Source organism: Homo sapiens, chromosome 7, assembly GCF_000001405.40.
Source record: "Homo sapiens chromosome 7, GRCh38.p14 Primary Assembly".
In the NCBI taxonomy this organism is placed as follows: domain Eukaryota; kingdom Metazoa; phylum Chordata; class Mammalia; order Primates; family Hominidae; genus Homo; species Homo sapiens.
Window position 1 is genome coordinate 142188662 of NC_000007.14, and position 24116 is coordinate 142212777.

A 24116-nucleotide genomic window follows, 5' to 3' on the forward strand; every position below is an offset into this window, starting at 1 on the left:
CTTACAATGGTAAGAAAGTGACATGCATTCAGTAGAAACCGAACTTTGAGAGCCCAAATAACCATTCTATTTTTCACTTTCACTATAGTGTTCAATAAGTTACAAGAGATATTCAACACTTTGTTTTAAAATAGGCCTTGTATTAGATAATTTTGCCCAACTTAGGCTAATGTAAGTGTCTGAGCACATTTAAGGTAGGTTAGGTCCATTCAATGCATTTTCAAGTTACAGTATTTTCAACTTGTGATGGGTTCATGGGGATATAATCACATTGTAAGTTAAGGATCATCTGTACTTATGTATCAAGCAAATGCTGTCAAATCAGAAAGATTTAGAGACACAAATACAAAAATGATTGAAATAGATTTATTCCCTGGAGAACATTACCATCTAGTGGAAGAAACAGTCCTAACAATGAAGGAGTTTATTATGTTGGCAAAAGGGCTATGACAACACTCTATAAATTAAATCAGAGTTGGTGCAAAAAGAAGGGGAGCTGCTTTTCCCAGCTCCATATTTTATCCTTACCCTTCATTAGTTATAAAGACACAGAACATTGTTTTCTATAGACTAAAACCTCATAAAATTGGGTCTGTTACTGGTAACAAAGTTGTTGATTGAAGTAAAGAAATGCCAAAATGATGGGCATTTCTAGTGAATGTGCAAATCATGTTGTTTAGGAAATAACTCAACATTTCCCCTCAGATTTGGAATCTAGGGACAAGGGCCTGAGCAGCAAGACTCTGTGCATGGAGAGTCAGCAGATCCTGCCGGACAGCTCCCCCGTGGAGCACTACAACGTGCACAACCTGTACGGGTGGTCCCAGACCAGACCCACATACGAGTGAGTGTCTTTTTGTCACAGCAGCAAAGATAATTTTCCACATCATTCCTTTTGCCATTTCATATTTGCATTGTGCATGTATCTACGTGATCCGAGTTAAATGGGTTAAAGTCAAAATTTCAGGCACGGTTGCCCAAGCAACCACCTCTGAGCGCATTTATCAAGTGGGTTACTAAATTCACCTATTTAAAGTGAGCAATTAGGTAATGTTTAGTATATTCATAGAGTTGTGCAACTATCACAAAAATTAAATTTTCGAACATTTTCAGAACTCGAAAAGGAAAACCTTTGCCCATTAGCAATCATTTCTACCTTGTTCCTACCTCCTGAGCCCTAGCCATTACTCATCTATTTTCTGTCTATGTGGATTGCCTATTCTGGACATTTCATAAAATGGAATCACACAATATGTGCTCTTTTGTATATGGGTACTTTCACTTGGCATAATGTTTTCAATGATTATCTATGTTGTAGCATGTATCAGTACTTGATTTCTTTTGACTAATAAAATTTCATTATATAGATACACCATATTTTGCTTGCCTATCTACCAATGAGTGAACATCTAAATTGTTTCCATTTTTTTTTTGGCTATTATGAGTAGTGATTATGTGAATATTTATGTGCAAGATTTGGAGTAGACATGTTTTCTTTGTTTTGAATATGTATCTAAGAGTGGAACTTCTGTGTCATATAGGAACTGTATTTTTAATATTTTGAAGAAATATCAAGCTGTTTTCTAAAAAGGCTGTACCATTTTACTTTTTTTTTTTTTTTTTTTTTTTTGATGGAGTCTGGCTCTGTCGCCCAGGCTGGAGTGCAGTGGTGCAATCTCGGCTCACTGCAACCTCCTCCTCCTGGGTTCAGGTGATTCTCCAGCCTCAGACTCCCGAGTAGCTGGGATTACAGGCATAAGTCACCATGCCTGGCTAATTTTTTTGTATTTTTTAGTAGAGACGGGTTTCGCCATGTTGGCCAGGCTGGTCTCGAGCTCCTGACCCCAGGTGATCCACCTGCCTCGGCCTCCCAAAGTGCTGGGATTATAGGCATGAGCCATCGCACCCAGCCTACCATTTTACATTCTTACCTGCATGTATGATAAAATGTATAAGAGTTGCAGTTCCTCCACATCCTTGCCAACACTCGGTGGTATTCATCTTTTTAAATTATAGACATTCTAATGGGGGTAAAGTGATATCTAATTGTTGTTTTCACTTTATTTCACTAATACTAATGTTATTGAGCATGTTTTCATATGCTATTGGCTATTTGTATATATTCAAATATCTATTCAAATCCTTTGCTCATTTTTGATAGAATCATTTTTTTTAATTATTATTGAGTTGTGGCCAGGCGTGGTGGCTCACACCTGTAATCTCAGTACTTTGGGAGGCCGAAGTGGGAGGATTGCTTGAGTCCAGGAGTCCGAGGGCAGCTTGGGCAACATAATGAGACCCTGTCTCTACAAAAAACAAACAAACTAGCCAGGCAGAATGGTGCATGCCTGTAGTCCCAGCTACTCGAGAGGCTAAGGTAGGAGGATCTCTTGAGCCTAGGAGTTTGAGGCTGCAGTGAACTATGATGGCACTGCACTTCAGCCTGGGCAACAAAGTAAGACTATCTCTACAGAAAAAAAAAAATTATTGGATCGTAAGAATTCTTTAAATATTCTAAATTCAAGCTTCTCATGAGATATATAGTTTGAGGATATTTTCTCTCATTTTGTAAACTTTTCACTTCCATAACCATGCCTTTTGGAGCACATTTTTAAAAGTTTTTATAAAGTCCTATTTATTCATTTACTTACTTATTCATTTGTCACTTGTGCTTTTGGTGTCATATTCAAGGAACTATTACCTAATTCAAGGTCATGAAGATTTATTCCTATGTCTTCTTCTAAGAGCTTTATAGTTTTAGGTATTACACCAAGATCTGTCATCCATTTTAAGTTTATTTTTGTGTATGGTGTGAGGTAGTGGTTCAATGTTATTCTTTCCTTCATTTTATTATCTTGACACCTTGTCAAAAATCAATTGACAGTAAATGAGAAGGCTTATTTTTGCCTTCTCAACTCTATTTCATTGATCTCTCTCTCTCTATATATATATATATCCTTATGCCAGTACCACACTGTCTTAATTGATGAAGTGTGACTCTTCCAATTTTTTTTTCAAGATTGTTTTAGCTACTATGGGTCCCTTGCATTTGATATGAATTTTGTAATCACTTTGTCAGTTTTGACAAAATAGCAACAGGGATTTTGATAGTTTTTACATTGAGTCTATAAATCAGTTTGGTGAGTATTACCATGTTAACAATATTAAGTCTCTTTTGATTCATTAGCATGAGGTGTCTTTCCACTTATTTAGATCTTTAATTTTTTCAACAATTATTTTTAGTTTTTAATGTATATGTTTTTGGCCATTATTTCTATAAATATTTATCTGTCCCTTTGTCTTTTCTTTTATCCTTCTGAGATTTTGCCACTTTCCAATGTCGTTGGGAAATTTCAGACTTGTTCTTTAGTTCTTCCCAGGACAGAGTGTGATCTTTTCTGTTCAACTGCCCCTTTCTGCTCAAGTATCTGAGCTCTCTGCCTTCTGTCCCCAGAGTTTACAAGAACCTCATACTATTTGATTTTGGGCTATCAACAGGTGATGTATCATGTTGCCCCTGGTGTTCCACAATCAGGGGCAACATGGTCTTCCAAACAGAAATTCTTCTTCCCTTTCCCACTTTCTTTACATCTTCATCTTTCAGTTGCTCTTTCACAGTCTTGCTTTCCACACCTAGCTTGAGGCTTTTCCAACCAAGGAAAAACTAGTTCTTCAGGAAAACACCCATGTCATTATATGAAATACACACAAAACAAATAGGTGTTTTGCAACCTCAGAGATAACCTTACCTTGGAAGAGTACAAGGATGAATAAGTCACAGTCCCTGCTTTCAAGGACCTCATTGTCTAATTATAGGAGTCAAACATGAGAGGGAAAATCAATTAACTCTACTGGGATAATCCAGAAAGTCTTCATAGAAGAAGTGATGTTTGAATGTTGGTTAAAAGAAGAGTAGAAATTTTCTTTTGGCAAAGAAGGGGCTTTCAGGGCAAAGAAAGCAGCAATAAGAAGATGTGAAAACTTGATAAAGTTTCTACCAAAAGCTCAACTTTCCCATGCACCATCCCCTCCTCTCTCTTCAGGGAAATTTGCTTTTCACACATCTGCATCCCATCGCCATCTTTCTCTTCAGAGAAGCTTGCTCCACAAATTATACTTTTCCATGGGTGCTCGTTTCTTCATGAATTATTTTTTATCTTCTTCCTCACTGCTGGTATATTGCTTTAGGATTTAGGCTGTGAAATCTTCTAACTAAACTTTCTCATCTTTCAAATTGGAAAAATCATGGCATCTATTGTTAATATAAAAATTAAATGATATAATGAATCCACAAGTACTTGGCATATTGTAAGCACTCAACAAACATTAGCAATATTTTTTAATTCCTTTTCATCAATATTTGAAAATGCCCCAGTTGTTCTTGCTTTTGCCTATATCCTCCTCCAACCATCATCTAATCTTTCAACTCCCTCTCATATTCAAGCTGTTTGAAGGAACTCTTTCCATACATGATATATATATTTTTTAATTCCCATACACCTTGATGTTTCTCCCTTTACCAATCACAAATGCTGGTCATTCTGACCTTGATCAGGCTAATCTCTTAGCACATACAATCTAAAGACCAACTTACATCTATTTCCTTCATGAAACCTGCTCAGATTACTCCATCCCTCCTAATTCCCTCCTTCTCTTAACTACTAACCTGACAGTATGTTCTACATTTTAAGTTATTTCCTCTACACACCTGGGGAGAAGACCATGTCTTCTTTGCTCTTTTCTGTCCAAGCACTGAACCATTTTTATTTCTTTTTATGAAAATGCCTTTGTTTGTCAGCCCTGAGTGCCTGCATTGATGGGAGAGCTCAGCGTTTGTGGCATCAGTGGTCAGTTTTGTTCACTGACTCTTCCCTGCTGACCTTCATGCTACATCCTCTGCTGACCTTGAGGTTCACAATATTGAGGTTCATAATATGCCCTGCTGCATATGCTCTGTGTGCTTTTGCTAGTTTCTCAGGATCTTGACTGTGCTTTCCAACCTAGATTCCAGATATTTATGCATTTACCTCTCTGGCCACAGTTCCACAAACTCCTTTGCAGGTTTCCCTTCCCAGTCTTTCCAAGCCTATGCTCCTTCCACACCTGGGTTCAGTCATCTTTTTTTTTCTTCACACCATGTAGCTTTTCCCTTGGATAAGCACAAACACATACTACTGGCTTTAAATACACTCTGGATTCAGATGGCCCCCAAATCTTTGTTCCCAACCCAAACCTCTCTTGAGCCTCAAACCTAGAATTGCCCATAGCTGTCTCATTTATGATGTCCCATAGGCACTTCAAATCTAATACTTAAAATGTTGAACTATTTATCTCTCCCTTAAACCTGTCCTCCTGCAGTCTTTTCTTTCTTCTTCTTTTTTTTTTTTTTAAGATGGAGTCTCGCTCTGTCACCCAGGCTGGAGTGCAGTGGCACGATTTCGACTCACTGCAACCTCCATCTCCTGGGTTCAAGCAATTCTCCTGCCTCAGCCTCCCTAGTAGCTGCAATTAGAGTTGCATGCCACCATGCCCAGCTAATTTTGCATTTTTATTAAAGACAGGGTTTTGCCATGTTGGCCAGGCTAGTCTCGAACTGCTGACTTCAGGTGATCCATCTGCCTGGGCCTCCCAAAGAGTTGGGAATACAGGCGTGAGCCACTGCGCCCGGCCCCTCCAGCATTCTTTATTTTAGTGAAAGGAACCAAGTTTAACTAGTCATTAGGTCATCCTAGATTCTCTTTCTTTTCCTGCTTTCAGTTGGTGACTCAGTTCTTTGCATCAGTCACTACTCTATCTTCCTGCCTTATTCCAGGCCTTCATTATCTCTCATCTAGACTGTTATAAAAATCTAAGCTATCCTCACCCCCATTTCTTTATCACACATACATACATATGCATTCTTCCAATTTGTGTATGGTTAAATCTATACCTTTTACTTCATTATGTTTTGTCCATTGTTTTTATTTGAAATTCCTTTCTCTTGTAGAAATCAGGTGGTTTATATATTCTTTCAGTTTTAATAGAACATGTGTGTATGTGTGTGTGTGTGTGTGTGTGTGTGTGTGTGTATTTCCATTCATTTTTGGATTTGTTTTGGTGTGAAAAATTGGAAATAACCCAAATGGATTAGTTTACACAACAGTAGTCAGCTACTTTTCCTGACATCATTTATTGACTAATTCATCTGTGTCTATTGATCTGTGATGCTTTTTTAAGCAAATACTTGGATTGTATACATACTAGGATCTATTAGTAGACTTTCTCTTTTGTTCAGTTGATTTTTCCCTCACACAGTTGTTGTTATTTTCTAAGGGTGCGTGCAGATGATCCATCTTCCACTGAAAGATAAACATCTTTTATGTATATTTGCCTCTGTGTGCAAAACATGTCTCGCTTTTTGAGGTACAGAAAAGCAGAGTGAATATTTCCAAAATGCTGTAGCTTTTATTTGGATCCCAGATCTGCCTCCTTATTCTTTTTTTCCCTCTTCCCCTGTCTGCCATGTGACTACAGACACACGTGCACCACCCTGCCCAGCTAATTTTATTTTTTTGTAGAGACAGGGTCTCAATGTGTTGCCTAGGCTGGTCTTGAACTTCTGGCCTCAAGCAGTCCTTCTGCCTTGGCCTCCCAAGGTGCTGGGATTACATGTGTGAGTTTCTGTGCCTGGCCTCCTTTTTACTCTTTTTTTTTTTTTTTTTTTTTTTTTTTTGAGACAGAGTCTTGCTCTATCACCTAGGCTGAAGGGCAGTGGCACGATCTCAGCTCACTGCAACCTCCATCTCCTCAGGTTCAAGTGATTCTCCTACCTCAGCCTCCTGGGTAGCTGGGATTAGAGGTATGCACACCACACCCGGCTAATTTTTTTTTTTTTTAGTAGAGACAGGGTTTCACCATGTTGGCCAGGCTGGTCTTGAATTCCTGACCTCAAGTGATCCACCCACCTTGACCTCCCAAAATGCTGGGATTACAGGTGTGAGCCACCACACCCAGACCTCTTTACCCTTTAAATGACCTTTGGTAAGCATTTTAAAGATCATCTTATTTTGTCCAGCTCACTATTTTCAGGCGAATGCCTTTCTAACTTCTCTGAATCTTAGCTTCCTAACAGTAAAAGGAGTGCAAGGAAACCTTTTCATGATGTTATGAGACACCACATAGGAAAGTGACCGGTATAATACTGGAATAGAGGAATTGTTCCATAAATAGCTATATTACGCCTCACTCCCACCCCTTTCTCTTACTCCAGGGTGATAGTTAATTAACCAGATTTTTCAAAAATGAAACCCACATTCTACGTGCAGATATACCTCTAGTCTTGCTGTGAAGTTTGTTGGGATCTTTAGCATGGCTTTGAGACAGCAGATTCTTTCAGGGAAGAAGTTATCTGACTCGGACCGAAGTACCCTCACCCTCTCATGCTCCAAGCTGCAGTTATTCTCTGTAAAGGAGTTTGTTTCTTCAACTCACCTCTTTATTCCCCTCCCACCAGAGCTGTGCAGGAGGTGACAGGACAGCGAGGGGTCATCATCACCCGCTCCACATTTCCCTCTTCTGGACGCTGGGGAGGACACCGGTTGGGAAACAACACAGCTGCATGGGACCAGCTGGGGAAATCTATCATTGGTGTGTGGGCTCATTCCCAGGGGCCTGTGCTGGCAGGGAGGGCACTGGAGTTTGTGCTGTTCAACAGCACTGGTTATGTCTCTATCATCATCTAGGTGGGTGGTAAAATTAACAAGAACTGAGTTCTCTCTGGGCGTGGATTTTAATTTACACCCATCTTTTAATATTTTCATCATGGTCCAGGGCTTTCTAATGGGGTAAGGAAAAATCAGGCCAAGCCTTCACTCTCCTCCCAAAGTGCTCCTTCCTCCAACACAGCTGTGTCTTCTCTTTGCAGGCATGATGGAGTTCAGTCTCTTTGGAATACCTTATGTAAGTCACATTCAGACCATTACTAATTGCCCAGTCAGATTTTAGTGAGTCAGCGCCTCATGAAATTCCCACCTCATGCTCTCATTATGCATCTTCTCAGACAGGAGCAGATATCTGTGGGTTCTTTGGAGATGCTGAATATGAGATGTGTGTTCGCTGGATGCAACTGGGGGCATTTTATCCATTTTCCAGAAACCACAACAACATCGGGACAAGGGTGAGGCAGTAGTTCGTGCTCCAGGTGTTGTGTACCCTCAAATCATAACTTCTTTTTAACCCCCAGGACTATTATACTCATTTCCTGAGAAAAATCAAAAAACATCACCAGAATCTTAATTTCTTGGAAAATCCACAGAGTTCAGAACTCTGGAATTATCAGTAATTTTTAGAAATATACCTTTTCTCATCTCCTGGAGAATTACTACCCATGAGGAAAGGTTTTTATAGTTCCACATGGGGCTAAAATGAAAGAAGATCCCTTTGCTTTTAAGAATATTGAATTTGTATTTTACTCAAATTCATCGAAGATATGTTGGTGCTGCACGGAAACCTCTCTCTGTACACATGTAGAGGGCCAGAGCTGGACCTATTCCAGGGACTTAGGAATCAGTGATAAAGAGGAGAAAGCAAGAAATTCTAATTTTGTAGGGTGGCAGAGATGGGGGAAAGGGTAGGCCAGGAATGAAAGGGTAAGTGGCTTGTAACCTACATTTTGAATAAATGCCCATTGATTCTTTTCTGATGCCACTGGGATGGAATGAAGAAGAGGTGATCCATTATATGCTTCTTTATCCTTACAGAGACAAGATCCTGTGGCCTGGAATTCAACCTTTGAGATGTTGTCCAGAAAAGTCCTAGAGACCAGATATACCCTGCTTCCTTATCTCTATACTCTGATGCATAAAGCTCACGTTGAGGGCAGCACAGTTGTCCGGCCCCTTCTCCATGAGTGAGTACAGCCTCTTTCCCCAAGCATGTCTTGCAAATAATCCTCTGTAGCAGTCATAAGAGGATAGGTGAATTTTTCCTGTTTATTTTTTTAAGGTTTACGGATGACAGGACAACATGGGATATAGACCGTCAGTTCATGTTGGGCCCTGCTATCTTAATCAGCCCTGTGTTGGAAACTGTGAGTTCTTCATTGTAGGTCAGAAAACCTTCAATCACATGATCTAAAATCATGGGAAAAGCATTTTAAAGATCATCTTATTTTGTCCAGCTCACTATTTTCAGGCGAATGCCTTTCTAGAACATCTACAGGAGATCTTTTTCTTTTATTTAAAAGATCTCTCTGTTAATGAAAGCTTTACTACACTGACTGATTTCTCATTTTAAAATTTTGTCATTTACTTTTTAAAAATAGTTTTTTCTGTAGTTCTGAGGAATAATTTTTCAGGATTTTTCTTAATAAAATCCCTCAAATTATTGCAATCACTAATACAATTTTCATTTTTTATCTTAATTCTACAGTGTTTTGAAAATGAAAATGAAAAATATTTTTTGAAATATTCATAATGACATGTCAATTTTATGTTTCAGAGCACATTTGAGATCTCTGCTTATTTTCCGAGAGCCCGTTGGTATGACTATAGCACGGTAAGAACTAATATATTTGTGAAGAACCAGTTTGGTCTATGCAGGGTGGAGAGGTGGATAGAGCCTTCTATTTCCAAGCACATATTTCCTAAGGCAATAATTTTGACCTTTTTAGCCTTGGCAAGGCTTGTTTAAATGAAAGCATGTATAAGAGCATAGACGAAATCTAAGCACCTACATCTCATTGAAGCTCCCCCCTCACCCTTGCCCTTGCCTCTCAACTTTTCTGGAGAAACAAAGACAAGTCTAGATTTTCAGTCTTAAGCAAAACTGAAAGATCAGAGATTTTCTCTTTAGGTTTGCAGTCTTTTGCTGACTTTCTAACATGCTTCCCAGGAAAGGAAGGACTTGTAATTAAAACATGCTCTCATTTAATATATTTATCTCTCGCCATTTTTTGCCTGTATTCTCCTTTCTAGGGAACTAGCAGCACATCAACAGGTCAGAGGAAAATCCTGAAGGCTCCCCTTGACCACATCAACCTTCATGTCAGAGGAGGCTACATCCTGCCCTGGCAAGAGCCTGCTATGAACACTCACTCCAGGTGAGGAGAAGAGGCAATGTCTAACAGCCTCTTGCTATACCGTAATGAGGAAGCCTTACAGGAGGCTGTCCCACCTTCGCCAGGGATATGTGGATTATAAACTAAATTGCCAAACAGCTTTACTGGTCAGATCCTGTGAGTGCTTTCTGAGTGGGACTCGGAGGAAGATGAGTTCATAAAGTTAGTCTTAGGGATATATATACACACATATATTTTTGTCTGTAGTGCTGTATCAAAGGCAAAAATTTTCCTGAAGGCAGAAAAATGTTTCTCTTTCCACACTGTTAAAAAGGAATAGGGAATGTTAATGAGCTCTTTGACTTGTGATTGAACAAGAACTAGGTAGGACTGAGTCCTTGTCCTATCCTAGAACTTAATGTTCATTCCTAGGTCTGCTTTGGTCAATCAAGGAAAGATATGCTTGTGTGTTGTGTGTGTGTACATACACGTATATAAATTACACATATAATATGTAAAAATTTATAAAATCATTGATTAAACAGAACACGTCACATCAAGAAAGGCACATAATAACAAGTCAAAAGGAGAGAAGTTAACTTTCAGCCTTGTGGTATAACACATGGTTTATATGAAAGAGGGCTTTGAGCTGGATCTTTTAGATTTGAATGTACAAAGGGGAAAGAGAGATCCTGGTCGATTAAAGAACTGAAGGTGAAAAATGGCTTGGGTTTGGGAACATAAACCATCCAGTTTAACTGGAGGACAGATAAAGGAAGAGATAAAAATAAGTAAAACTCCAGCAGGTTAGGATCAGATCCTGGAGGGTGGTGAATGCCAAGCCACTACTTTGGATTTTATTCTGTGGCAACCTGGAAGCTACTGAGGATTCTCTTTTGAGGGATTTTCTTCCTATGAAATTAATATTTCATTATATTACTTGTATGTATATTTGATTTTTAGAAATTGAAGCTAAACCAAATGTTTTATTAAATTTTAAACGTTTTCCATTAACTTTTAAATGTCTTATATTTTATCTATTGTACCTATTTTTAGAACTTTATATGCATATTTAATACATTTCTTTTATTTCTAGATAAGTAATGTTTTTAACACAGTCTGTTCTTTATTCTTACAACCTACAATCTAGAGAAAAATAACTCTTTTTTTTTTTTTTGGTAGTCGACAAAATTTTATGGGATTGATTGTTGCTTTGGATGACAATGGGACAGCTGAAGGCCAGGTGTTCTGGGATGATGGACAAAGCATTGGTGAGTATAAACTTTCCAGGGTCCCTGTACATCACTGAGAAAAATCATACCATAGAGGCTCGGCATATAACTAACATGAACTGAAAACCTCTCTCTGCCTATTGTCAATAAGGCAATAACATTTGGAGAATTTTTCCAACTTTTGCCTGCTCATTTATATTATACTATAGTTAGTATAGACTGGGTACAGTCCCCAGCTTTGTAGGTTCAGAAACTTGCTGTTATGCATTCAGCCAGGGATGATCTATCTCTGTATAACTGTCTCACTCTTGATTTAAAAAGAAGTGTGGATGCAAATATCAGGCTGATGGTTAATTCATTCTCAATGGGACAGAAACATGACTCTATCATTTGGATCAGCCATCTATACCAGGCACCCTGTTCCTCACAAATAGGCCTGCTCAAGAGGCAATTTAGAGGTTAGAAAATTTCTTGGTGACTCATAAATTGGGAATTAAGTGTTGCCCAAAGGATACTTACATCGATGAAATATTAATTTGTATGTTTCCTTTCCCCAGTTGAGATAGAGTATGTTAGTTCTACTTAGGTAAGTGAGATTTGTCATTATCATCAGAACACCCTCTAACTCAGAATTTTCTATAGATATATGGACACACTGTTACTAGCTGACTCTCACTTTTCACTACTTATTACTGTGGACCAGAACCTTCTAATCTTGCAACATACCACATTTTCTGAAATTATAGTATAGCTTATTTTTCACTACTAATATTTCTAGAGATTCCTTCTTTTTTAGGTTCCTTCATTATAAAGATAAGAAATTCTCATTAAAGAAGTAGATATTCTTTACAACACATGTTAAAGACAGAAAATTAGAAAAAAATACAAGCACTTTTAATATTTTTGCTGTACTAACTTTGGCTTTTGTATTAAGAAAATGCTTAATTTTTAATATGGCTGAAAACATTTTGCATATTTAATTTGTGAATCCTGTTTATTTTCCTCTAACATAATGACAGAAACATGTGTGAATGTTATTATTTGTTCCTTATAAATACCATTATGTATGATGATCATATTCTATTGAGAGAATATGTACAGGTTGGTTTTAATTTTCATTGTTATAAATAACATCCTTTTTCTTTTTTTTTTCTTTTTTTTTTTTTTTTGAGTCTCACTCTCTCATTCAGGCTGCAGTGGCACGATCTCAGCTCACTGCAACCTCCTCCTCCCTAATTCAAGTGATTCTCCTGGCTCAGCCTTCCCGAGTAGCTGGGATTTCAGGTGTGTGGCACAACACCCACTAATTTTTGTATTTTTAGTAGAGATGGGGTTTCGCCATGTTGGCCAGGCTGGTCTCGAACTCTTGGCCTCAAGTGATTCACCCACCTCGGCCTCCCAAAGTGCTGAGATTACAGGTATGAGCCACCGTTCCCAGCCCATATATAACATCCTTGAGTATTAACCATTGTTTCCATTTTAGATTACGTCCATAGAGTAGATTCCTGGAAGTGATATTACTGTCTTTTAATCAACTTTAAAAAAGTTGTGATTTATACAAATAAAATGTATCCATTTTAAGAATACAGTTAGGTTTTGACAAATGTGTACAGTTGTATAGCCACTACCACAATGAAGATGTGGAATATTTTTATAACCCTGAAAGTTCGCCTTTTATAGTCAGCCTGCGGATTCATCCAACTGTGGTTTGAAAATGCAGTTAGCCTACAATAGTTGCATCTGTATTGACCATGTACAGACATGTTTTTCTTGTTACTATTTTGTAAACAATACAGGATACCAATGATTTACATAATGTTTACATTGGATCAGGTTTTATAAGTACCCTGGAGATTATTTAAAGTACACGGGAGGATGTGTATAGGTTATATGCAAATATTATACCACAAAATAACTTACATTCAAATAATAATGTCAGATTCATTTTAATGGTCAAAAAATGAAACCACTGAAATATTCATCAATAAGTATATTGGTCAATAGTCATGGAATATTACCATGGAAGACACCATGGATTATTATTAGGAATAAAAAGCAATTAAAGCAATTAATTTCTTTTACATGCAACAGCATGGATGAATGTAAAAGGCATTTTTGCTAAGTGAAAGATGCTAAAAATACAAAAATAGTACATATTGTATGATTCTATTCATATAAAATCTAGAAAATACAAATCCAGTCTATAGTCACAGAAAGCAGAACAGTAGTTGCCAGATCCTGGAAGGAAGGATCAGGACTGGGGAGAAGCTGACTAGAAAGAAGTACTGCTGTCCCTGGGTATCCATAGGCGGTTGGTTCCAGGACCCCTGCGGATATCAAATTCCACAGATGCTCAAGTTCCTTATATAAAATGATAATATTTTTATAATTTCAACTTTTATTTTAGATATAGGGTGTACATGTGCAGGTTTGTTGCATGGATGTATTGTATGATGCTGAGGTTTGGGGTATGGATCCCGTCACCCAGGCAGTGAGCATAGTAACTAATGGGTAGTTTTTCAACCCATGCCCCCATTCCTTGTTACCCCATCTAATAGCCTGCAGTGTCTATTGTTCTCGTCTTTATGTCCATGTGTACTCAGTGTTCAGCTCCCACTTATAAGTAAGAAAATGCATTATTTGGTTTTCTTTTTCTGTGTTAATTTTCTTAAGATTGTGACCTCTAACTGCATCCATGCTGCTGCATAGGACATGATTTCATTCTTTTTTATGGCTGTGTAGTATTCCATGGTGTATATGTACCACTTTTTCTTTATCCAATCCTTTGCTGATAGGCACCTGGGTTGATTCCATGTCTTTGTAATTGTAAATAGTGCTGTGAGGAACATAAGAGCACATGGGTCCTTTTGGTAGAATGATTTATTTTCCTTTGGGACATACCAAGTAATGAGATTGCTGGGTTGAATTGTAGTCCTGTTTTAATTTCTTTAATAAATCTCCAGACTACTTTCCATAGTGGCTGAACTAATTTACATTTCCACCAACAGTGTTTAAGCATTTCCTTTTCTCTGCAGCCTTGCTAGCATATGTTATTATTTGACTTTTTAATAATAGTGGGTTTGATTTGCATTTCTGTAATGATTGGTGATGATAAGCATTTTTTCATGTTTATTGGCCATTTACATGTCTTCTTTAGAGAAGTGTCTGTTCATGTCCTTTGGCTATTTTTTAATGGGGTTATTTGACTTTTGCTTCTTGATTTAAGTTTCTTATAGAATCTGGATGTTAGACCTTTGTTGGATGCATAGCTTGTGAATACTTTCTCCTACTCTGTAGGTTGTCTACTCTGTTGATAGCTTTTTTCACTGTGAAGAAGCTCTGTAGTTTAATTAAGTCCAACTTGTCAATTTTTGTTTTTGTTGTAATTGCTTTTGGGGGCTTAGCCAAAAATATTTTGCCAAGACCAACGTTGAGAAATCAGACAAGACACATAAATGGAAAAAAACATTCCATGCTCATGGATTTGAGGAATCAAAGCAATGTACAGATTCGACACTATTCTTATCAAACTAGCAATGTCATTTTTCACAGAATTAGAAAAAAACTATTCTAAAATTCCTATGGAACCAGAAAAAGAGCCCAAATAGCCAAAGCAATCCTAAGCAAAAAGAAGAAAACCAGAGGTATCACACTACCCAACATCAAGCTGTACTATAAGGCTATAGTAACCAAAATAGCATAGTACTGGTATAAAAACAGACACATAGCAATAGAACAGTATAGAAAATCCAGAAATAAAGCCACACACCTACAACCATCTAATCTTTGACAAAGGTGACAAAAACAAGCAGTAGGGAAAGACTCTATTCAATAAATGGTACTGGGACAACTGGCTAGCCATGTGCAGAAGAATGAAACTGAACCCTTACCTTTCACTGTATAAAAAAATTAACTCGAGATGGATTGAAGATTTAAATGTAAGACCTCAAACTATAAAAATCCTAGAAGGAAATGCTCTTCATGTTCTTCTTTTTCTTTGGTTATTTTAGCTCTTTTGTATTTCACACAGATTTTAAAATCAGCTTGTCACTTTTTAACAACAAGACCACCTTCTGGAATTTTGACTGTAATTGCTTTTATTCTTAAGACCAATTTTTGAATATTTGTCATCTCTTTTTTTTCTCTGTCTCTTTCTCTCATCTACTTACCTACTTATCTACCTATCTAGCTCTATATAATTACCATTTACTTAGATCTTTAATTACTCTTAGCAATGTTTTATAATTTTTGGCGTATAGTTCTTGTACATATTTTGTTAAATATGTCCTAAGTATTTTTAAGTTTTTGATGGTATTTTAAATATATTTTAAATTTCTCCTAACAGTTTATGGATAATATATTATAACCTATATTCACTTAATATGATATATGAGAGATATTTTTCAAATGGTTTTATTTTCTATTTATGGGTGAAAACTTGCTAAAGAAAAAATATGAAGGAATTAAACAACTTCTCTCTTCAGAGCTCAGTTCAGTCTTTGGACTTGCTTTTTAACATAATCTGATAAGAAGCTCTAGGAGAGGCATGTGGTATTCTGAAATTAAATAGATCTAGGTTTGAATACCATCTCAGTAACTTTCTAGTTGTATATCTTCTGGAAAATTACTTATTTTGTTGTCTCCATTTATTCTTCTTTAGTATCTACAACATACACCTATGTTGTAATTTTATGAGGATAAAATGATTTAACATACATAAAACATTCCTGGCACATGAGTTCTGAACAAAATGTGTTATTAATATGTAAAGTAAATAAAACTCTATTCTAAACATTTAATATGAGCTACTTTACATAAAATTAGCATGTCTAACTTATGAAAACAAAATGAAAATAAATAAATACGTAAATAAAATAAAGTTAGTGTGGTTAATAAGATAATAAGACAATAAGGCATCCAAAAGTCAAAAAGAGGAGGTTGACCAGCCATCCTGAATTTCAAAGCTGTAGCAGGACTTGAGCCTTATAAGGGCATACTACGGTGCCAATTTTTAAATTTAAGAACTGTATTTATTAAATGCATTTTAATATTCCTGTCTCTTGGGAAAGTACATATTTTTTCTCAAATTAAGCCTTTGTGAAAGATGAACGTTTAATCAGGGGTTTGCTAGGTGAGCAAGGAATGATAATAAAAGGAGTTAGTGCCCATGATTAGACAGTCAACACTTTGGTACCTCAGTGAGTCTTGCCAATGGGACTGCAGACTGTTTTTGTTGTCAGATCATGACAAGTGCTTGGTATATATCCATTCATCAATTGATGGACATTTGGGTTGTTTCCACTTTTTGGCTATTATAAATAATGCTGCTATGAACATCTGAATATAAGTCCTTGAATAGACACACTTTTAAAAACTCTCTTGTATATTATACATACCTGGGAGTGAAATTTCTGGCTTATGTGGTAACTCTATGTTTAACTGTTGATAAAATATCCAACTGTTTTCTATAGAGGCAGCACCATTTTACATCTCAATCAGCAGTGTATGAGGGTTCTGATCTCTCTTCTTCCTTGTCAACATTTATTATCTATTTTTTTAATTATGATCATTCCAGTGGGTGAAAAGCTGTAGTTTTTTGTGGTTTTGATTAATTTATATTTCTCTGATAACTAATGTTGTTGAACATCTTTACATGTACTTATTATTCATGTGTACATTTTCTTCAGAGAAATGATTGCTTATATTCTTTTCACATTGTAAAATTAAAGTGTCCTTATTATTGAATCATAAACAGTCTTTATAGAATTTAGCTAAAAGTCCCTTATCCGATGCAGGATTTTCAAATATTCTCTCTCATTTAGCAGGTGCCTCTTTTGAGGCACAAACTTTTAAATTTTGATGAAGTCTAATTTATCTATTTTTTTCTATTCGTTTAATGTGCTTTTGGTGTTATAGCTAAGAAACCATTGCACATTACAAAGTCCCAAGTATTTGCTACTAGATTTTCTTCTAAGAGTTTTATAGTTTTAGCTCTTACATTTAGGTCTTTGATTCTTTTTGAGTTAATTTTTGTGTATGGTGTGAGGCAGGGGTCTAACTTCTTTCTTTTGTATGTGGATTACAGTTGTCCCAGAATCATCTGTGAAAAGTCTATTATTTTTCTCATTGAATTATTTTGGAATTTTTGTTAAAAATCAATAGACCATTACTGTGAGGATTTATTTCTGAATTTTCATTTCTATTGCCTTAATCTATATGTCTATTCTTATGTCAGCACTGCACTGTCTTGATTACAGTGGATTTGTAGTAAGTTTTAAAATCAGGAAGCATGAGTTCTTCAATTTAGTTCTTTTTCAAAAATGGGCCTTATTTTAAAGCGGTTTTTCTCAACCTCAGCAATACTGACGTTTTGGGCTAAATAATTATTTTGTGGTGGTGGCTGGGCTGGTTATTATACATGTTTAGCAGCATCCCTGCCCTCTCCCCACTTGATGTCAAAAGCAAAGTTATCTTCAAGATAACTACATGATCTCTAAATATTGTAAAATGTCTCCAGAGAGGCAAAATTACTGCTGGTTGAGGATCAATGTTTTAAGAGAACATAGAAAGTCCTTTGATACAGGTTTAGCTAATTAGGACTAGATGAGTGATGTCATAGTAGGTTAATAACATCACAATTAGTATGCAAAATCAACCCCCTATGAGCAATATGTTTCAAAAATTTAAAGGAATAAAGCCATTTCCTACAAGATTTTAACTTTCTATTACAGTATATTTTAGTCTTAAGATTAAAAATTAATAGTACCTGAAACTTTCAAACTTGTAAATTTTTATGGAGAAGGTTTTTAGCCTTTTTAAACATCAAATATGCTTAAAAATTCAAATTCAGACTACTAAGATACAGTGTAAGTGTCATTTAAATGTTCTATTAGCAGACTTGGAACCATTTATTTAACTTTTCCTCACATAGGTGATATAATGGCTGTTCAAGGATAATCTTAAAAGAACATGTTAACAGAATCCCATTCTTTACAATTTTTTTATTAACTGCTAGAAGAGGCTGTAGTGTTTGCCCAGGTTGCATTTTCTAGCCAAGACTAAATTTTAAAATATGAGTTGTATAATTGCTTCCATAAAAGTGGAGGTAATTTAGAATACTTCGAGAGTTAGTTGGTTTGGGAGAGAATATGTTGGAATACTGACAAGAGTTGGAATGTTGAGAAGGGCCAAGAACAGAACATGAAGTGAAACTGATTTTTCAGAAACAGGGAGTTATAGGAACCATATGGGAAGGAGACATAAAGTAAGGAGTATTTCAAAGGAGAGGTGTGTGGGCAAAGTGGCCTAAAAATCCTGAACAGTGTGAGGAGATATTTAGATTTTATATACTATGTCACTGGTGACTTAGAAAGGGTCAGATTCCATGGAAAAAGGAAACACAGGAGCTGGAGTTTAGGAGATGTAAGATTGAATTATGAGTTGGGTACACAGACATAACAAGTAAAGGCTACATTTATTTATTTATTTATTTATTTATTTTTATTTATTTTTTTGAGACGGAGTCTCACTCTGTCGCCCAGGCTGGAGTGCAGTGGCGCGATCTTGGCTCGCTGCAAGCTCCGCCTCCTGGGTTCACGCCATTCTCCCACCTCAGCCTCCCGAGTAGCTGGGACTACAGGCGCCCACCACCACGCCCGGCTAATTTTGTTTTAGTATTTTTAGTAGGGACAGGGTTTCACCATGTTAGCCAGGACGGTCTCGAGCTCCTGACCTCGTGATGCGCCCGCCTCGGCCTCCCAAAATGCTGGGATTACAGTCGTGAGCCACCGCGCCCAGCCCAGCAAAGGCTACCTTTTTAAGATGTATGGTAATAAAAAGGAGATGCGGTAGTAGCTCGATATAAATAGAATTAGGTAAAAGTATTATCAGAACAGAGTACTCTGGAGCATAAATGTAGCTTGAAAAAGCAGAGAAGGTATAGGGAAGAATCGATGGAATAAATTCTACAGAGGCAGAAGTGCTTGGAATCTGGAGCACTGTGGGAGGATGAGCTAAGAGTAGGGAGAGAAGAATGGTGAAGGTGAAGATTGATGACGACTTTGACGACAGTGAGCAATCAATTTTAAGCACTTATTGTGCACAAGCCGAACATTATGTACCTTATTGCCACTAACTAGGTACTATTATCTCCATTCTATAGATGATAAAATGTTAAGTAACTTGTCTGAGTTTGCACAGCTATTAAGTACAAGAGTTGGGATTTCAACCCATGTCTACCTGACTTGGGAGCCTAAATTCCTAACCACTCGCCTCTGCTTTATCATCATAGTCTTTAACACCACTGCTATGTGAACTCCTATGACTACATGCTTGCTGTCTCGCACAGAATAACCAAACAGTAGTCTCCACACTTCAGGTAATCTATCCTTTGTTCAACCCAGATTCTCTTGCATTTGTAACCTTCTGACCTCCCCGGCAAGGTACCCATTTGCATTTGCACATCCCCACACTAACATGCAGTGAAATAGTCTCTTAGCCACTCTCTTCAGTGCTCCTCAGAGAGGTGACAATCATCAGTAACTGTGACCCCATTGAGAGTGTGGTTTCTGACCACGCTCAAGATTATTTGCTGCAATTGAAGCAGTTAGTAGTTGCTTATTCTTTTCTTTTCCTTGTTTGCAGATACCTATGAAAATGGAAATTATTTTTTGGCAAACTTTATAGCAGCTCAGGTAAGACTAATTTACTACATTTTACAAATCTTTTCCCAGGTGTCTACAGATTAAACATTACAGTTAACTGCGTAAATGTAATATCCCACATCTTAATAGGAGGTTCTTCTTGCCTTTACTTTTATAATCCAGGTCTGTTGTCATTAAAGTAAGGAAGAAACAATCCTTACTTTGGCAGTTTTCCAGTATACTATCTCCATGAAAAGAAACTTGGAATTCATACAATGCTGGGGAAAAAATGGGGCCTTAAATGTGTAACATGTTTTCCAAAGATGAGAAATTTACTAGCTGATAAATTTTGAAAGAAAAATGCTATATAAGCTACTTATTATGCAATAATGCATAAAAGACGACCTCAAAACCTTAGTGGTATCTAACAATAAGCACTTACTTAGCTCATGAGCTTGCAGGGCTCAGAGGATGTGGGTCTGGTCTTGGCTGATCTTTGCTAGCTCACATACATCTCCAGTTAGTCTTGGGTCTATTGGGCTGTTTAGGTAATCTTGGCTGTATTCACATATCTGGGGGGTCAGCTGACTCTCATATGATTTATCATGGCCTTGTGGGAAGGTCTAGGCACGGCTTCTTCATAATTATGGAAGAGGGCTAAAATAAAAATAAAAGTGGAGATCCCTTAGTTCTTTATAATTTTTTTGTATCGAGTTGACTAATTTCCCATTACCAAAGCAAAATCACATGGTCAAGCCCAGAGACAGAGGAGGGACAGAATGCCTCAACTGGAGTGGGAGGGCATTGCAAAACTGCATGGAAAGGGGTATGGATTTGTAAGGGTTGAATATTTCATAACAGTGATGCAATCAATGCACCTTGCATATTAAATGATCCCATTGGTAATCTACATAATTTTAATTAGAGTATGAGGAGAATCATTCTAGGTCAAACTGGATTCTGCTTCTCTATTTTTACCTAGTCACTTTAACCAAGAAGTAATATAGCACAAATCTATTTTTTTTCTATAACAGTGATTCACATATTTGAAGATGTCTCTCAGTTATTTCTTTTGTCTTCTTAGAATTATACATCACCAGGCTAACTTCATATTTTCTCTATTTCCTGCTTATAGTGGTTTCCAGGTCTGATCATTCTGTTTAGACTCCAGTTAACTTAGATTTCTTTTAAAACATCAGAACCGAGAGCATATTTTAGAGCTGTCTATCCAGTATGATAGCCACTAGCCACATGTGGCTATTGAACACTTGAAATGTGACCAGCCTAATTTGAAATATTCAAAAGTTAGCTTAAAAAATTCAAAAATGATTTGTGGGCTTCCTGGGCAAGATGGCCAAATAGGAACAGCTCTGGCCTGCAGCTCCCAGTGAGATCAATGCAGAAGGCAGGTGATTTCTGCATTTCCAACTGAGATACCTGGTTCATCTCACTGGGACTGATTAGACAGTGGGTGAAGTCCACAGAGGGCGAGGAGAAGCAGGGTGTGGTGTCACCTCCCCCAGGAAGCACAAGGGGTCAGGGTACTCCCCCCGTAGCCAAAGGAAGCCACGAGGGACAGTGCTATCTGGCCCAGATACTACACTTTTCCCATGGTCTTTGCAACCCACAGAGCAGGAGATTCCCTCAGGTGCCTACACCACCAGGACCCTGGGTTTCAAGCACAAAACTGAGTGGCCGTTTGGGCAGATACCAAACTAGCTTCAGGAGTTTTTTTTTTTTCATACCCTAGTGGTGCCTGGAACACCAGTGAGACAGAACCATTCACTCCCCTGGAAAGCCAGGGAGCCGAGTGCCCTTGCTCAGCGGATCCCAACCCCACAGAGCCCAGCAAGCTAAGATCCACAGGCTTGAAATACTCGCCGCCAGCACAGCTGTCTGAAGTTGACGTGGGAAGCTCGAGTTTGGTGGAGGGAGGGGCATCCGCCATTACTGAGGCTTGAGTAGGCGGTTTTCCCCTCACAGTGTAAACAAAGCCACCAGGAAGTTCGAACTGGGCAGAGCCCACCACAGCTCCACAAAGCCGCTGTAGCAAGACTGCCTTTCTAGATTCCTCCTGTCTGGGCAGGGCATCTCTGAAAAAAAGGCAGCAGCCCCAGTTAGGGGCTTGTAGATAAAACTCCCATCTCTCTGGGACAGACACCTGGGGGAAGGGGCTGCTGTGGATGCAGCTTCAGCAGACTTAAACCTTCCTGCCTGCCAGCTCTGAAGAGAGCAGTGGATCTCCCAGCACAGTGCTGGAGCTCTGCTAAGGGACAGACTGCCTCCTCAAGTGGGTCCCTGACCCCCGTGCCTCCTGACAGGGAGATACCTCCCAGCAGGGGTCAACAGACACCTCATACAGGAGAGCTCCAGCTGGAATCTGGTGGGTGCCCCTCTGGGATGAAGCTTCCAGAGGAAGGAGCAGGCAGCAATCTTAACTGTTCTGCAGTCTCCACTGGTGATACCCAGGCAAACATGGTCTGGAGTGGACCTCCAGCAAACTCCAGCAGACCTGCAGAAGAGGGGCCTGACTATTAGAAGGAAAACTAACAAACAGAAAGCAATAGCATCAACATCAACAAAAAGGATGACCATGCAAAAAATCCATCCGAAGGTCACCAACAGCAAAGACCAAAGGTAGATAAATCCACGAAGATGAGGAAAACCCAGTGCAAAAAGCCTAAAGATTCCAAAAACCAGAATGCCCCTTCTCCTCCAAAGGATCACAACTCCTCACCAGCAAGGGAACAAAACTGGAGAGAGAACGAATTTGATGAACTGACAGAAATAGGCTTCAGAAGGTGGGTAATAACAAGCTCCTCCGAGCTAAAGGAGCATGTTCTAACCCAATGCAAGGAAGCTAAGAACCTTGATAAAAGGTTAGAGGAATTGCTAACTAGAATAACCAGTTTAGAGAGAACATAAATGACCTGATGGAGCTGAAAAATATAGCATGAGAACTTCGTGAAGCAAACACAAGTATCAATCACTGAATAGATCAAGCAAAAGAAAGGATATCAGAGATTGAACAGCAACTTAATGAAATAAAGCGTGAAGACAAAATTAGAGAAAAAAGAATGAAAAGGAACAAACAAAGCCTCCAAGAAATATGGGACTATGTGAAAAGACCAAACCTACATTTGATTGGTGTAGCTGAAAGTGACGAGGAGAATGGAACCAAGTTGTAAAGCACACTTCAAGGTATTATCCAGGAGAATTTTCCAACCTAGCAAGACAGGCCAACATTCAAATTCAGGAAATACAGAGAACACCACAAAAATATTCCTCAAGAAGAGCAACCCCACGACACATAATTGTCAGATTCACCAAGGTTGAAATGAAGGAAAAAATGTTAAGGTCAGCCAGAGAGGAAGGTTGGGTTACCCACAAAGGGAAGCCCATCAGACTAACAGCAGATCTGTCTGCAGAAACCTCACAAGCCAGAAGAGAATGGGGGCCAATATTCAACATTCTTAAAGAAAAGAATTTTCAACCCAGAATTTCAAATCCAGCCAAACTAAGCTTCATAAGTGAAGGGGAAATAAAATCCTTTACAAGCAATCCATTTACAAGCAAATGCTGAGGGATTTGGTCACCACTAGGCCTGCCTTACAAGAGCTCCTGAAGGAAGCACTAAATATGGAAAAGGAAAAATGAGTATCAGCTCCTGCAAAAATAAACCAAAATGTAAAGACCATTGACACTATGAAGAAACTGCATCAACTAATGGGCAAAATAACCAGCTAGCATCATAATGACAGGATCAAATTCACAAATAACAGTATTAACCTTAAATGTAAATGGGCTAAATGCTCTGATTAAAAGGCACAGACTGGCAAATTGGATAAAGAGTCAAGACCCACTGGTGTGCTGTATTCAGAAGACCCATCTCATGTGCAAAGACACACTAGGCTCAAAATAAAGGGATGGAGGAAGATTTGCCCATCAAATGGGAAGTAAAAAGAAAAAGCAGGGGTTGCAATTTTCATCTCTGATAAAACAGATTTTAAACCAACAAATATCAAAAAAGACAAAGAAGGCCATTACATAATGTTAAGAGCTAACTACCATAAATATATATGCACCCAATACAGAAGCACCCACATTCATAAGGCAAGTCCTTAGAGACCTACAAAGAGACTTAGACTCCCACACAATAATAGTGGGAGATTTTAACACCCACTGTCAATATTAGACAGATCAACA

The 24116-nt window shown here is 38.0% G+C and overlaps 1 protein-coding gene across 5 annotated transcripts in view, besides 1 other annotated feature; it reads left to right on the forward strand.

The window, feature by feature from the left end:
• The window catches only part of MGAM2 (maltase-glucoamylase 2 (putative)), a 110607-nt gene that overhangs the window by 76944 nt on the left and 9547 nt on the right, over positions 1–24116 (forward strand). For 4 of the 5 annotated variants that reach the window (NM_001293626.2, XM_011516692.3, XM_011516693.3 and 1 more), the window contains 10 exons: positions 706–844; positions 7493–7626; positions 7904–7938; positions 8039–8155; positions 8739–8887; positions 8983–9067; positions 9478–9534; positions 9954–10078; positions 11219–11307; positions 19912–19961. In NM_001293626.2, coding sequence (NP_001280555.1) covers positions 706–844; positions 7493–7626; positions 7904–7938; positions 8039–8155; positions 8739–8887; positions 8983–9067; positions 9478–9534; positions 9954–10078; positions 11219–11307; positions 19912–19961 — 980 coding nt within the window. Of the gene's footprint in view, positions 1–705; positions 845–7492; positions 7627–7903; positions 7939–8038; positions 8156–8738; positions 8888–8982; positions 9068–9477; positions 9535–9953; positions 10079–11218; positions 11308–19558; positions 19646–19911; positions 19962–24116 lie in introns of all 5 variants that reach the window. The other variant, XR_927547.3, reaches the window with a different exon arrangement.
• Positions 7430–8629: an enhancer, noted in NCBI's record as "BRD4-independent group 4 enhancer chr7:141895891-141897090 (GRCh37/hg19 assembly coordinates)". NCBI's record gives its function as "activates an origin of replication core promoter dependent on BRD2, P300/CBP, MED14 and CDK7 cofactors, and independent of BRD4, by STARR-seq in HCT116 cells {active_cell/tissue: HCT116}" and the evidence as "EXISTENCE:reporter gene assay evidence [ECO:0000049][PMID:35650434]".